This window comes from Homo sapiens, chromosome 2 (assembly GCF_000001405.40).
Source record: "Homo sapiens chromosome 2, GRCh38.p14 Primary Assembly".
NCBI classification, from domain to species: domain Eukaryota; kingdom Metazoa; phylum Chordata; class Mammalia; order Primates; family Hominidae; genus Homo; species Homo sapiens.
Window position 1 is genome coordinate 131412054 of NC_000002.12, and position 16357 is coordinate 131428410.

The 16357-nt window shown below is 41.2% G+C and overlaps 1 pseudogene, besides 1 other annotated feature; it reads right to left on the reverse strand.

Annotated features, from left to right (window-relative positions):
• Positions 1828-2074: a silencer, noted in NCBI's record as "fragment chr2:132171454-132171700 (GRCh37/hg19 assembly coordinates)". NCBI's record gives its function as "represses an EF-1alpha promoter that drives an FKBP-Casp9 reporter gene in an ReSE screen in phorbol 12-myristate 13-acetate-treated (for megakaryocytic differentiation) K562 erythroleukemia cells {active_cell/tissue: K562(+PMA)}" and the evidence as "EXISTENCE:reporter gene assay evidence [ECO:0000049][PMID:32094911]".
• On the reverse strand, positions 10390-13087 carry GNAQP1 (G protein subunit alpha q pseudogene 1; annotated as a pseudogene).

The window sequence follows — 16357 nt, forward strand, 5'->3', positions numbered from 1 at the left end:
GAGAAGATAACACATAAGTTCATATTAACATATAATCAAAAGACTTAATGTATATAAATGCACACAACATGCAACAAGATAATTCGGGGAGGAGCATGGAATGTGGAGAAGAAGACAATAGGAGAGATCAAATAAAGCCAGGAGTAGAGTTAAATACAAATGCATATACTGCCTATTTAAAATGGGTCGAAATTTTGACTCTAAACTTTCTTGCAGAAAACTCTGAAAAGCTGGCATATACATTTATATAATTTGCAAGCTGCAGGACAATGCAGGCTGTGTGCCTAACTCCCTGATGGTAAGATAATGCAGATGTCCCCAGTGATAGGAGGTAGTAAGCCAATTTTGTTTTTGTTTTCTCTCTAACGATGTATTCTGAATGACGTTTTCTGCAGTGGCATGCTCTTAAGCCCATAGCTAGAGTAATATGCACTTCCCAGCATGTTAGCTGTGACACCCTCCTTTCCATTCCACTCAGGAGAACGTACTGGATTACAGACGAGTGAGAATAATGTTGAATGATTAACTTTCTTAAGTAATTTCTTAACTCTAACATTAATAAAATTAAGACTTACAGCCGGGTGCAGTGGCTCACTCCTATAATCCCAGCACTTTGAAAGGCCAAGGCAGGCAGATCACCGGAGATCGGGAGTTCGAGACCAGCCTGACCAACATGGAGAAACCTTGTCTCTACTAAAAAAAAAAACAAAATTAGCCGGGCATGGTGGAGGCTGAGGCAGGAGAATCACTTGAACCCAGGAGGCGGAGGTTGCAGTGAGCCAAGATCGCACCATTGCACTCTAGCCTGGGCAACAAGAGCCAAACTCCATCTCAAAAAAAAAAAAAAGACCCACAAACTTTGATCCTTCAGCATTAGTAACAGATTACTCTAATATTTTCATATTCCAACATAATGTTTGAGAAACATAATGTTTGTGAACAGCGTTAAATTATACAAAATCTAGTTATGTACATGGGAGTTATCAGTAAGGATATTTCTCAGTTTTTTTCCAGAATGCATTAAAAAAAAAGTAAATCAATTATTGGCTTCCTTTAGATTGTGTAGAGAAATAAGTACAGTAAATATCTCACTTCCCACACTTCCTTAACCTTCCCTGCTCCTGCAGGCTGAATATTATTATCTGCTGCTTTACATGGCCTGATAGTATTTGGGTATTAACAATATGATTGTGCACTGCTATTGCCTCAAGAGTGGTCCGGCTCTTTGAATGCGTTGGAAAAAACAAACAAAAACTCTCTTGAACGTGATACTGTATTTCACCAGCAGAGGGCAAGCTACACTCAGTTGTGCCTATATGTGACGAATTCTGTACAAAGATTTCGTACACAAGCCATAAAGGCCATTTCTTTCTAATTGAAGTAAGTAGCCAGAAATCTAATAATATCTAAAGAGATCGATCCGATTAAGCTTTAATTTGAGTTCATCTTGGTCTCAAGGGGATTGAATTTAGTGGGTGGAACACAGCAACAAAGAGGCAGACATGCAAGGACTGGGGTTGGCAGTACCTGGAAATATCTTCTTCCCCCTGGGGAAGAAAGATTTTAAAAGGCTGGAAAGTCACCTGGGCCTCAGCTTAGTGGGCTGGTCTTGAAATTTAGCTGGACTTTAGGCAGTAAAATCATGTCCTGGACCATTGTGGCTGAGGCAAGTAAAGACTGAAAAATCAGTGGAAAAACTTGGAGCTTGGGGCTGAGAACTGTCAAGAGATGAGATACCCATTTGGTGGGATGTGGGTCTGAATTCAGGGACAGGCTCAATAAGTAGGCAATGGGACCCCTGTGCAGGAAGCGCCTCTATCCCAACAGCCAAACAGATTAGGAGGATTTTGCTGGGATGAGGTCAATGTCTGCATGAATTCCCCCAGACAGAACAGTCTCTAGTACTGGCTCAGTCATGCACCTTGACCCTAAAGCCAGAGTCTGATGGCCCCACTCAGTCCCTCCAGCCCTGTTCCATGACAGGACACACAAAGCATTCTTGATTCAAGCCTAATGCTCTCCAGCACCTTCCTGGCATGCCCTGTGGAAAATGGACAGATTTTATAAAATATGCTGTCCTCTATTTGCAGCCCTCTAGCTGGACTGTCGTGGCCCCCTTTCTGCACACTGAAGGGGATCTCTGACACTGACACCTGTCGGTACTATGTCTCAACCTGCTGACCCATTGGAAGCTACTTTGGATGACCGCCAAAGTGGGACATTTTATGCTTTCCAAAAAGGGAGAAAATTGACTCAGGAATTGTCCACATGATTTTCAGCTCCTGAAATAATTCAATGACATAATAAATATTTTAAATGATTAGAGTTATTATGAAAATGTTAATGAACTTTAAAAATCCATCAGTTTGAATTAACAATGTTATTTTAGATTTCTTTTGGCACCATGATGAAATTTTATTTATAATACCATTTTTTTGGCTTAAGGTCTTTACATCTTGTTATATTATTCAAGTTCTCATAATTTTATGAAATTTAGAAATAGTTCTCCGATTATGAATCCTCTCTGTTAGCTAAATTTAATTGTTAGTATAGTATATTCTTTTCCCTTTTCTTTTCTTTCTTTCTTTTCTTTCTTTTTTTTTTTTTTTTTTTTTGAGATGGAGTTTTGCTCTTGTTGCCCAGGCTGGAGTGCAATGGCGCGATCTCGGCTCACTGCAACTTCCGCCTCCCAGGTCTGAGTGATTCTCCTGCTTCAGCCTCCTGAGTAGCTGGGATTACAGGTGTGTGCCACAACGCCTGGCTAATTTTTTGTATTTTTAATAAAGACAGGGTTTCTCCATGTTGGCCAGGCTGGTCTTGAACTCCTCACCTCAGGTGATCCACCTTCCTCGGCCTCCCAAAGTGCTGAGATTACAAGAGTGAGCCATTGTGCCTGGCTTCTTTTCCCTTTTCATACTACATCATTAAAGTGAGCCATACTGGCCACTATAAAGTAGTTCTCATTGAGATACTGCAGGTGCATGTTTTGGTTATAAAATTGTTCTCATATAAATATCACAACTAATATATTAGACCTATGCTGTAAAGGCAAAATTATACACTATGGCTTTGTTCTTGCCATTAATTACCTTTTTGAAAATATTTTATTACATTCTAGTGGAAAAAGATTTCTCTCAGGTAGCAGAGCAAATAAATACTGTAAGATCTATAGTGTGATCAACGTATTCTGTCTTCAATAAATTTGAAATAAAAAAGACATGAAAAGGCATGAAGACAAAAGTCCAAGGTTTAGGGATTAAATTGTGTGTGGCTGCCAATTACAGAAATTAACGGAGACATTTTGTTGCTTGACACTACTTTATAGATTGTGCTAGAAAACGTAGTGGTCAAATTTTAATGTTTTTATGATTGTCATACTGTGATGACTGTGAGAATGAGAATCACAACCTCCAACTACAGGACAGGAGCCATAATTGACAAGGGTTCTGTTATATCCCTGCACTCTGAAATTCATTGCCACCTTTGCAGCAAGACCACTCTACCTATGGGTTGCTCCCAGTCAGTGACTGAGCACACCAAGATACTTAGAGCTGCCCCTGGTAGATGAGGGATTCCTTTGACAGATGACTGGCTCAAGACTCCCAAACAGCCTTGCCAAACCTTCTTTGACATTGCGGCAATCCGGAATGCTTCCACCCAGCATTCCTTCTCTCTTCCCTGTCTCCTTCACTCATGGTGGACATCCATTGTGCTCTGATAGCTCTCCCAGCCCTACCCAGATCCGCCCCCCATTCTCTCTCATGGGCATTTTGCACATTTAATTCTGTTTTGGCATTTGCTTCTCCGAGGACCCAGGTGAAAACACATATGATCAAGGGTATAGTTTTCAAGTTAGCATGTCTAAATGACTTTAAACCAAACTACATTCTATATGTATCTCTGATAATATTTTTGTAGTATCTGATAATTATAAAAGCAACACATGTTCATTAGACAAAATACAGAAAACATGTAAGCCTTGCACTTTTTTATGCCAATGTTTTTTATGATCTTGAGTATTCAATAATGGCGGAAATTTATTTGTGTCACAGAAACCTGTCTTACCCTGGCATGTCTTGGGAACCACATTTAAAAGTCGGTTTTCATAAATTATTGGTAAAATAAACTCATACATCTACACTATGCAACTGTGCAATATAAACATACTGTTACGTTTCTTTATATGGAGAAATTTTCATGCTGCCTTACTAAGTTTAAACACTAAAACAGAAAGAAAGCCTGGGAGGATTCACACCAAAATGCTAACTTTGACATTTTGAGTAGCTACTTTGGGATTTGCGGTCTTTTTGTTTTATTTGCTTGCTTATCTCTGTTGTTTGAATAATAAAGGCGGATATTTCATTGCTATCCTAGGCTTAAGCATCTTCTTTAGGGTAGTTTAAAGTAGATACTCTTATCTTGGGTGCTTCATTCATCTGGAGAACATGGCATGCTTCCTTATCAGTTAAGTCACAAATTTGACAATTAACTGATATTGTTGGTTGACATGTCTTTGATTATGATGTAATACATATTTCAGGGAAAAATGCTTTTCAAAAGTATTTTCCATTAGGAAATATCATTAGTATTAGCGTATATCAGACTATAACAAGAAACAGAAATTTCATTATCCCATTGCTCTTTTTATGATGCTAAATAAGTAGTCCCCCTAGCAGCCCAGATTTATGTTACCAAAAAATCAGTACACTTTGGTTTGTCAAATTAAAATTCAGAAGACTCGAGGGCCCAGATCTGTCTCTAACTATGTGCGAGAAGTCAGATGAACTTTCACACAGCCTTTCTCCAACAAGCGAGATTGTAACTTCTGAGGTCTCATTCAACCGTTTCCTTCCATGATTCCAAATAACTATTTTTGCTTTTTGAATTGGTGATAATAGCAGATAGAAACTTGTGGTAAAAATGGGCCCTTCGGCCGGGTGTGGTGGCTTACGCCTGTAATCCCAGCACTTTGGGAGGCCAAGGTGGGCAGATTACAAGATCAGGAGTTCAAGACCAGCCTGGCCAACATGGTGAAACCCCGTCTCTACTAAAAATACAAAACTTAGCTGGGCATGGTGATGCGTGCCTGCAATCCCAGCTACTCAGGAGGCTGAGGCAGGAGAATTGCTTGAACAGGGACCTGGGAGGCAGAGGTTGCGGTGAGCCAAGATTGTGCCACTGTACTCCAGCCTGGGCTACAGAGTGAGACTCTGTCTCAAAAAAAACAAAAAACAAAAAACTGCCCTTCTTTTTCACTCAGGGACAGGTTCCCCCAACAGGAAACACCCTCAAGCTAGTACAAGTCCAGGGGTTTTGTTGTAAGAATAGAATAATTTTATAGGTATCCAAGGAAAGAAACCAAAAGTATGGTCAGTCTGCATTTGTTTAGAACTGGAAAGTAAAAGCTAAGACTATTTCTGTAGGTTCTCATGTATCTTAAAAGGAGGCAAGGCAGAGAAGATCTATTGGCAGCTCTGCTATTAATTCTTCAGTTTCTCTAGTTAACCAGTTACATTATTATTAAGTAATAATAATAATTATTAAGTGTGATTATTATTGTGATTTATATTATTATTAAGTGGGATTATTATTAAGTGTGAGTCATTAAAAAATAGAGGAGGTTGCATAGGCATTTCCGGCAGTTAAGAAATCAATCATCTATCCATCCATCCATTTAGCTATATACTTTGAGATGCTCAAATCACTCATTTTCCCAGCTGCCAGCAGTGTTGGAAGTGCTGAGAATGTTGTTAGCTGATGGCTCACAGATGAAGGGAGGCAGCTTGCCCAAGGTGGTCACCAGTTCCAACTTTAAATGTATAACAAATATGGGGAGGGAGAAACAATCTTAGGGGTTGAAAGTCAGCATTTCCATACACCGATGGTCCAAGCATTCTGGGGCATAATTGACAACATGATGAATAATTTTCCTTGCTGAGCATACTCCTTGGCCCAACAATGCTATTTAAACCAACTTATCCCAAGGCACTAATGAAGGATGTGCACAGATGTTTGGCTATTGAGATGTTTATTCAGTGTGGTCAGTGAAGAAATAAACTAAGTATCCAAGAGCAAAGGGTTTGTTGAGTAATGCCTACTATGGAATATAACACAGCTGTTAGAAATGAGGTGGTATCCACCTTCTTGACATGAAAACTGATCTCAATAAGGACCGAGTGAAGGAGGCAGGTTAGGAAACACATGTATAGTAGGCTCCTAATTTTATTTGTTCAAATCATTTTAGAAGTGCGTAAGAAACACTTGGAGAATTATATGTCAAAATACTAACAGTGATTACCTCTGTGTAGTGGTGAGTGGGATTAGATAGGATTTTAATTCCTCTTGACATTGTGCGTTTATTGAATGCTTTATAGAGAATACATGCTTACTGTGTTAGCAAAAGGCCAATATATATATTTTTTTGAGATGGAGTTTCGCTTGTGTTGCCCAGGCTGGAGTGCAATGGCATGATCTCAGCTCACTGCAACCTCCGCCTCCCGGGTTCAAGTGATTCTCCTGCCTCAGCTCTCCAAGTAGCTGGGATTACAGGTACCCACCACCACACCCGGCTAATTTTGTATTTTTGGTAGAGACGGGGTTTCTCCATGTTGGTCAGGCTGGTCTCGAACTCCTGACCTCAGGTGAGCTGCCTGCCTCGGCCTCCCAAAGTGCTGCGATTACAGGTGTGAGCCACCGCGCCTGGCTGGCTATTCTTATACTTGAGAGTTGGCCGACTAATTAGTACCTGAGTCCTAATGGGACAAAGTCACTTTCTGGTGCTGCTCAAAACGGTGTTGACAAGAAGAATCATGATCATGAAATGAAAGAATGTCTACCATGGCAGGGTAACCAGGAAACAGGAATCCAGACACTTCTGTCTCTCTTTTATTTATTTTTCTTTGTTATTATTTTAGTTTTTAGAGTTTCTGGCTAAAAACAGAGCAGAAATCTTTGTAAAACACACACACACATATACACACAAACACATTATAATTTTCCATATGCTACTTCTCTAGATTTTTCAAAAATCCCCTCTCATCACAAAAATCCTTCTGCAGACCGTAAACACATGAAGATCTTTTAAACATTCATTCCACTGGCTTTCCTCCTTAGAAGCATTATATTTTCCATCACATTTTAAAACACTAACATTGTAACAACAGAATTCAAACAGAAATAAAACATATTGTAAAAAGATAGGTGTTTTGTTTGAAATAATGGTGTTTATTTTACAATGCATATAATTAGGTCAAATTGTAAAAAGCATTTTTTTCCCCACACAAGAGATTTCATAAAGTATGCACACAGGTTATCCAGAATGCAGTAAGCCTTTTCCACCAGTTTTAATGCACCTTTTGTACCAAAGGGCAAACCTATCACTATGGCTTGTGGTGGCTTAGAAAGAAAAACAAGCATAGTATTAAGAGAAATGCTGCAAGATGTGTCTATGAAGAGTACTACAGTGAGTTGTTAGGGCAAGGGGCACGTGGTCTTAACACAGGCTGTCCCAGGAAATGCCCGGCCTCATCCTCTGAGGAGGTCTCCGTTTTGGAAAACAGCTCACGTTCTTTTCGGGTTTGTTCATTCCTGGATACTCCTAGTTTTACTGCGTGGGAGCGGGCGGCTTTCCCTTTGGTTTTAGGGGATTACTACGTCTGGTGCACCCTGCTGTTTTCTTCTTGTCCCGAATTGTTCTCTGCTGTTCCTGCAGCCTCCCTTCCCACTGCTGGAAAGCAATTTGTCAGCATGACTACCAAATCATCTCACCCTTTATGCTGTTCAGCTAATGTGAGAATTAAAGCAAGTTTTTTGCTGTAATATACTAATATCGACAACAATTGTAACAGCTACCCTATGTCAAGCACTTATCATGTACCAGGTGACTTGGAAAGTCCTCAGTATGTGATGAAGCTTTTTTTTTTTCTGTCATTATGCAGCCCTTTCTTCCCATTATTTATTTTTTTTTGCAAATAAGTCATTTTGACCCAAATCCAGCATAAATAGCTTTTCACCAATTCCTAACTTAAGACAACTAAAATTTACAATCATGTGGCAGTATAAATTTTAAAATTACAGTTCGTACACTTTGACAATCAAGATAGTCTGAAGTACAAAAAAGTAAATTGCCCTTTAGCTGAATTACCTTTTTAAAATAGGCCTGCTAGTTAATCTACCAAAAAAAAAACAAGTTTCACGTGTTCTTCAAATTCCTTTTGTAGTTGTCATCTGCTAGTAAACAACATATGCAGGTTCCTAAAAATTTTTTTTCCAGTCTATTCATGACATTCAACAGGGCTTTTTATATGGAAATGTTAAAAACAAGAACTTCTAGGAGATTTATTTACTTTTGAATGGGTGTGTTATTTCCCTTTGTTTCAGATATGAGGCACAAACTTCTGAATTTAAGCTCTGTAAGGCATAGTAGAAACTTCCAATTTACAAATAAGGAATTCTCTGGGGGTTAGAACTGCCATGTCATGCAAAAAGGGAAAAATCATCTGTAAACTGCTACACTGCAATGTGTTAAGTCAGTCATGAAATGGCTGCTTGCCTTGGTATGCAGACGAAAGGTTTCTGTGTTTTATGTTTTTGTTTTTCAATAAGACATGCCCAAGTCACCATAAAACTCACCACAGGCCTCCATTACCTAAGCATCAACAATAGGAGGCCAGTGGCACACGCTTATAACGCCTGCAATCACAATATAATATAAAGCATGAGTAAACTTTGTTTTTATACAAAACTGAAGAGAATCCCATCCCGCCCCTAGCCCCTTCAATAAAACCCCAAAGAAACAAAAAAGAAAATCCTTTAGCTTCGATTGACTGGTGTGGCTAAAATTAGGTTTCTATGCATCACTGCTGCTAGGGTGATCAATTTTGTCCTTCCTCAAGAGAAGGGATCTTGTCATGCACCCTACAGGAACAGTGAAGCCACAAACCTCAATTCTGCATAGCAAATTCCATCCCAATTTCATAATGACCAATATAACAATCTTTCCCTGTTTTGCTCAGCTTCTTCAAGCTTTGAGATCAGGTTTAATTGACTACATCTACTATAGCTCTATTAAATAGAATATCTTGATTCCCTAAAACCGTGACACTTATGATCTTGTGATGAGGTTTTCTCTATACACACTGTAGGCCTTCAAATGTTGTTGTTTAATTTTTTTTTTTTTTTGATGCACCAAATTTAAGAACGCCCTTTCAGGCAAGCAGTGGTCTCTAGCTGTTAAAACATTTCCTTAGTGGATCACAATAGCTTCTAAAACTGCCTTTCTAGTAAAGGCCATCAGAGAGGTAATACTAAACTGTGCATTTGCCAAATAAGAATATGAATTGTATAAAAGCTCATATTCCAATCCTAGATCAAACAGCAAAAGTGCCACTAAGTTGGTTTCCATGTTTGTATAAAAGCTCCGACTGATTTTATGTATTTTGCTATGAAATTACCTTTGGATCTTATAATCAGTATACCTCTACTCAGGAATGTGCAAATGATTTTATACAGCATGACGCTAGTACCGTTCTGTATGACAGTAAGGTTTTTTTTTCTTCTTTTCTAAATAGAAAGAAAATATCCCTAGTCAGAAATAAACTGACAAATTTACATTCTCCTCTCTTAAAAAAGTAAATAAAATAACATTATTCAAAATGTGAATTAGCTATAGACATACAATTACATAGATACATATCGATACAGCACATTCAATCTGCCAAAAAATTAATGATTACAAAGCCAGTATGGATGCTGCAATATCAAGAGAGATGTACGTACAATGATTAGAGCATTTGTAATTGCACTATACCTGCAGGCAGTCTGTTTGTTAAATTACAGGTGCTTTCTGAGCAAGGGGAAAAAAAAGTAACCTGTGTTGTTTGAGGCTGGGAGAATCAAGGATGAGAACATCTCATTACTGTTTGGTGGTTTTGGTACTCATCTAACAGGCCGTGATTTTTCTCCCTCCCCATTTTGTTGTTCCAAAACAGTGATTTATATGGAAGTTTAGACTAGTGCCAAATAGCACTATAGTTAAAATGAGACCAGTATCATGGCCTAATTCTGACGTCCCAGCAGCTTTAAACAATCATGATTTATTTTCTTAAATCAAATTTCAACTCAAGCTGCTTGACAGAAGCTTGTCAATACATGTGCTGTATTTTTTTTGCATTTGTTGAAAAATTGCACATATAGAATTCCAAACATTTCTCTTGGTAGGTTCAGTTACACAAATACATGTTCTATAGAACACTGAGAGGTTACTTTTAAGTCCACAAATCTTCCGTAAGTTCAACCTAATCAGTTACCAGTTCAAGAAGATCTTGAAGGTGGTAAACTAGCAGGAACTTCAGATTTAGGAAATTAAAGGTGTCAGAATAATACTATCAACCAATGTTCCTGGCAGACTTAATTGAACTTAAAGAACCATTGAGAGTAAAACTGGTTTCAAATAAAGAGACATAAACAGATTTCCTGTTAAACCTCACAAGATACTTTTTACATTGCCGGTTTGGACACTGAACATGGGACGTGAACACTAACAACGTCATCTTAAGGACAAAGAAAAGAATGGACCGTGAGAATCAAATTTACAGTTCCAACTGTTTGGCAATTGGCATTTCTGGTTCATTCTCAGCCAGTCATTTTAGGCTTCACAGTCTTACTCTCTTACATTTTAAGATACCAGCTTTTATTTTTTAAGTTCTTATTCATTTTATTTGACAAAAAGCCAGCTTTGGCAACACATACCCATAATAAAAGTCATTTTAAAATTGTGGCCCAAACACTAAGGAAAAAAAAAGAAAGGAAAAGCTCAAACAACAACAATAAAAAATTAAGAACAACCTCTAAAAAGTTTCTGGGTAGCAGCCATTAGGGTAATGTAGTGTGTGTTGGCATCTTTTTTGGCATCTGCAATTGAAAGAGAGGGTAAGAAAAAGAAGCAAAGAAGGGAGGAAAGACAATGGCACGTGGCATTTCAAAAGAAAGGACTCCTGCGTGTCTTTGATCCTGCCTTCTGCATATTTCTCTGAGCAATCAAGCTATGGCTGAAGGTAAACATCTAAAAGAAATGACACTTAACTGTTAGACGGGCATCCATTGTCCCAGTCCAAAGTGAGACAAGACAGTATATTCTATTAAAAAAGAAACCATGTGTGTATCCAGAGCAACACATTTAAAACCATAGTATTAATACATATAATCCTTCAGCAAAAACTACAAACTTATATAAAGCTGATGATGGCTTACATCGAACGATGTGTCCTGACTGTAACATTTGAGAGAAAAACTTGACCAAGAATGGAACTAGGATAAAGGCCATTGTAACATGGGAAAAAAATCAGGAGGGAGGTATGAATTAGGGGGGAAAAAAGGGAAATCAGCTTTGTTTTGCTCCATAGAAAAGAAAAAGAGAGAAAGAGAGAGAGAGAAAGAAACAAGTCTTATCTTTGTGAGTGCATGACTGAGAATTTAAAATACACCGAGTCACAAGGTTTTGCCTAAAAAAAAGATAGAGAGGAAATGTGCTGGGACTGTACTTCAGCATCCTCTGTTTTTCCTCTGAATAGTTTAAATAAAATCATAATGTTTACTACAAACTCTGTGGACACGCTCACACAGAGTCCAGGACGGCAATAAATTAGTATTATGCAAATTGTTTTCCACAGAAATACAGTCCCTCTTGTGTATCTTCAATAGCCCACCATGGAAGGGCAGGGCGGGTGTCTAGGAGGCACAACTAGACCAGATTGTAATCCTTCAGGTTCAACTGGAGGATGGTGTCCTTGACGGCAGCAAACACAAAGCGGATATTCTCGGTGTCTGTGGCGCATGTGAAGTGGGAGTAGATAATTTGGTCACTGGGTTCAGGTCCACGAACATCTTCAGAATGAATTCTCGGGCTGCCTGGGCATCTCTCTGGGGTCCATCATATTCTGGGAAGTAGTCGACTAGATGGGAATACATGATTTTCTCCTCTGGAAGATCTTTCTTGTTTAACAACAGAATAACCGAGGAGTTCTGGAACCAGGGATACGTGATAATTGTACTAAAGAGAGCCTTGCTTTCCTCCATTCGGTTCTCATTGTCTGACTCCACGAGAACTCGATCATATTCACTAAGCGCTACTAGAAACATGATAGAGGTGACATTTTCAAAGCAGTGTATCCATTTTCTTCTCTCTGACCTTTGGCCCCCTACATCGAACATTCTGAAAATGACACTTTGTAAGTCAAAGGGGTATTCGACGATCCCTGTGGTGGGGACTCGAACTCTAAGCACATCTTGTTGCGTAGCCAGGGTCAGCTACGTGGTCCAAGTCATTAAGATAGTATTTGGTAGAGTCAGATAATTGATATTCTCGTCGTCTATCATAGCATTCCTGGATTCCAGGATCATTCCATAAACTCTTTATTGCATCTACATATGGATTCTCAAAAGCAGACCCCTTCTCCACATCAACTTCTCGAACTAATTGTGCATGAGCTCATACTTGTATGTGCTCATACTTGTATGGGATCTTGAGTGAGTCTATGGCTCTGATCATGGCCTGCATGGCCGTGAAGATGTTCCGATACACCAGCTTGGTGAAGCCCCTTTTATCTTCATCAGAGTATCCTGACCCATGGATGATTCTCAGCTGCTTGATAAAGGTACTCTTGCCACTCTCTCCTGTCCGGAGCAGCAGCAGCTTGAGCTCCCGGCGGGCATCCCGCTTGTCCCTGCGGAGCTGCCGCTCGATCTCGTCGTTGATCCGCCGGGCTTCCTTGGCCTCCTCGCTCAGGCAGCACGCCATGATGGACTCCAGAGTCATTCTTCCAGAGTGCCTCCGCTGCAGCCCCGCCGGCACCCCCTGCTCACATCGCGCACACACGCCTTCCCGCCATCGCTCCCCCGAGGCAGCGGTGGCTGCCGAGCCCCCGCCGCCTGGGCGCGCGTCCGGGACGAGCTCCGGGAACCGCCGCGGGGGCGGCGGCCAGGGCCGGGGCCACCAGGTGGGCCGGGGGCGCGGTGGAAGCGGATGGTCTGGGTCGACGGGAGAAGCGAAGCGGGCGCGGGAGGCGGGCGCGGGAGGCGGGCGCGGGAGGCGGGCGCGGGAGGCGGGCGCGGGAGGCGGGCGCGGGAGGCGGGCGCGGGAGGCGGGCGCGGGAGGCGGGCGCGGGAGGCGGGCGCGGGAGGCGGGCGCTGGCTCGGGGGGCGCGTGAGAGAAGCCGCCGCGCCCGGCCTCGCTCAGACGCTCAGACGCCCGCGCCTCGGCCCGCCTCGCTCCCCGAGCCGCCGCCGCCGCCGCCGCCTGCCGAGGCCCCCTACGCCGTGCCCCTGGCAGCGAGAACTCATCCACCGGGGTGTCCCCGCAGCGAGCGGCCGCTGAAGGCTCCCCGCGCCCGCTCCTCGCCGCCGCCTGACACGGCTCCCGGGCGCCCTCGGCCCTGTCCGCGCCCACCGCCCGGCTGGCGCGCAGACCCGGTTCCCCGCCCGCCCGGCAACCCTGTGATGAAGTTTTCACATACGTTCATTTCATTGAAACAAAAGTCTTGTAGGCACCATTGGCAGGGGCAAGAAACAAGCACACAGGTTATTTGCAGAAGACCACAGAACTGGCAAATGACAGCGCCAGGATTCAATTATAAAATGGGGGATTCTTTTTCAAGAAAAATTAAAATGTCTAAAAACTAAATTGAAAACCTTTGATGAGGAGAAAACCAAGTAAGATAAAAGCTGTTTCTAAAACACTTCTGTGATCACATTAGTTGACGGGCATGTACGGGAAGCAGTTGCAATGTGGTCTCTTTTTAGAAGAGCCCTTGGCTTTTGCAGAACTTTCTGATTCTGAAGTGTTAGGTGACCTTTTCTCAGTAGCTGTGGCATCTCTGAGGGCTTGGGGATAATAAAGTGAAGATGTAGACTGGTCTGTCTTGAATGATCTTAGGACATTTTAATAACCTTAAAGTGGACATTAGAATAATGGGAGTAGGCAAAGTGTGACATCTCAAGCCCAGCATAAGCGTATGCTTTTGGCTGGCGCAGTGGCTCATGCTGTAATCCCAGCACTTTGGGAGGCCAAGACAGGTGGATCACCTGAGGTCAGCAATTCAAGACCGGCCTGACCAACATAGCAAAACCCCACCTCTACTAAAAATACAAAAATTAGCTGGGGGTGGTGGCGTGTGCCTGTAGTCCCAGCTACTTGGGAGGCTGAGACAGGAGAAGCGCTTGAACCCAGGAGGCAGAGGTTGCAGTGAGCCAAGATAGTGCCACTGCACTCCAGCCTGGGTGAAAGACTGAGACTCCCTCTCAAAAAAAAAAAAAAAAAAAGTGTGCTTTTATGTTGTTTCTTATAACTTAAACCTCCCTGTACTTAACACCTTTCATAATTTCCTCCCAGAAAGCACACGTTCCTATCACCATAACTGTTGTCACATAAAAAATAACTAATAGTGCTCCAAAGATGTTTAAGATGGATTTCAAAGCTTCTAATATCTTGGCACTGAAGACATTACTTAGATCCATATATGTCTTATCTTTAATACCAACACATACCATGGTGATAGCAATCCTATAACCGTATCTAGCTCAAACTGTCTAACTATATCCCAAGCAGCAAAAAGAGGTGGAGAAAGAAGGGGAGGAGGAGGATGAAAACAAGAGGAAGAAGAGAAGGAAGAGGAGGAGAAAGAAGAGGAAGAAAGAGAAGGAGGAGGAATGGAAGAAGAAAAAAAGAAGAATGTAGGGGAGGAGGAGAAAGCATTTATCAGCATAAATGCTCAGTCCAAAGGGCTGTTGATACATACTGATGAATAAACACGAGAACGGTGTAAGCCACAAGGAAGCAGCACTTTAGAGAATTTCAGTTCAGATGCCTCCCCTTTATGTTTCTCTAAATTAGAGAATTTCCGGACTAACCGTTCTTTCCTGAACCATGAACCATTGGCCCCTCCTATCAGAAACTTAGAGCTGTTCCCTGCCTGTGCATCTCACAGTAGATGCTGCCGTTCAGTGAGAAAGAAAAATAGCCTTAAAGAGAAAGCCTGCTGGTTTGGGGAATAATTTCTCTGCTTTTCAGTTAAATAAATTTAAAATGAGTTTTATTTTGTCTACTCATAACAACTGAAGTTCTGCATTGTGGTATATTCAAGTGTGTAGAAATTGAACCTCAAAGGACTCTTTCAGTTTAACTTTGTATGGAAATTATATTATTATGCAGGTAGTCATTGGATAATAATGGATTATCAAGTAATTTTGAAAGCTGTCAAGTCCATCTTATTCTTTCTAAACCCAATCCTTACCTTCCCAGTTCAGTCATTAGAACTCTGTATTTCCTGAGTCAAGAAAAACAGAAACAGCTTTACTCAGATAATTCAAATAGCTCAGATAATACAAGAACAATAGTCTATTATGGCATTTGCAGTAGATGTTCTGGAATAGAGATAAGTAAAAATTTTCCCCAGACTCCTGCCATATGTAATCATTTAGTACAACCAGTCTGCTCAAAAATAAGTTTGTTGGCTGGGTGCAGTGGCTCACGCCTGTAATCCCAGAACTTTGGGAGTCCTAGGCAGGTGGATCATGAAGTCAGGAGTTTGAGACCAGTCTGGCCAATATGGTGAAGCCCCGTCTCTACTAAAAATACAAAAATTAGCCAGCCGTGGTGGCCCATGTCTGTAATCCCAGCTACTCAGGAGGCTGAGGCAGGAGAATCGCTTGAATCGGGGAGGCGGAGGTTGCAGTGAGCCGAGATGGCGCTGCTGCACTCCAGCCTGAGCGACAGGATGAGACTCCATCTCAAAAAAAAAAAAAAAAAAAAAGTTTGTTAAATTTTCTGTTTAGATGAATCTATGTGTCTCTAGAAGAGTGGAGCAGCAAATCTACTTAACAAAATCAGACATAAATGGGCTAAATTTAGGTGCCCCAAACTTGGAAATAAGATTAACCTCTGTGATTGGAAATATGAGAACAATACCTAATGAATGAGTAAATTAGCGATTTAGAGATATACACCACAGAAAGAGAAGGTCTTCAAGTTTTGGGCTAAACAACTGGAGAAATTATGAAGTCCAATGAAGGCAAGATTGCCATTGAAATGCAGCCTCATCAGTTTCATCAGAATTGGGCAGATGTAAAAAAACACTGGATGTTGTCATTTTGTCCGAAGACAGTGTTTTAGCAGAAGGAAGTTGGTTTACATGGAGTTTAGTTAGGGAATCTAAAACCAAGGATTTGGCAGTGTTTATCTAACTGTGTCCAGGAGAGGAAGATATGGAATCTGGCAGTCACACACAGAATGTTCGGGACAATTAGGAGATCAAAGTGATGTGTTGTTATTTTGGCTGAGATTTAGGAATATTTCATTTCCCTG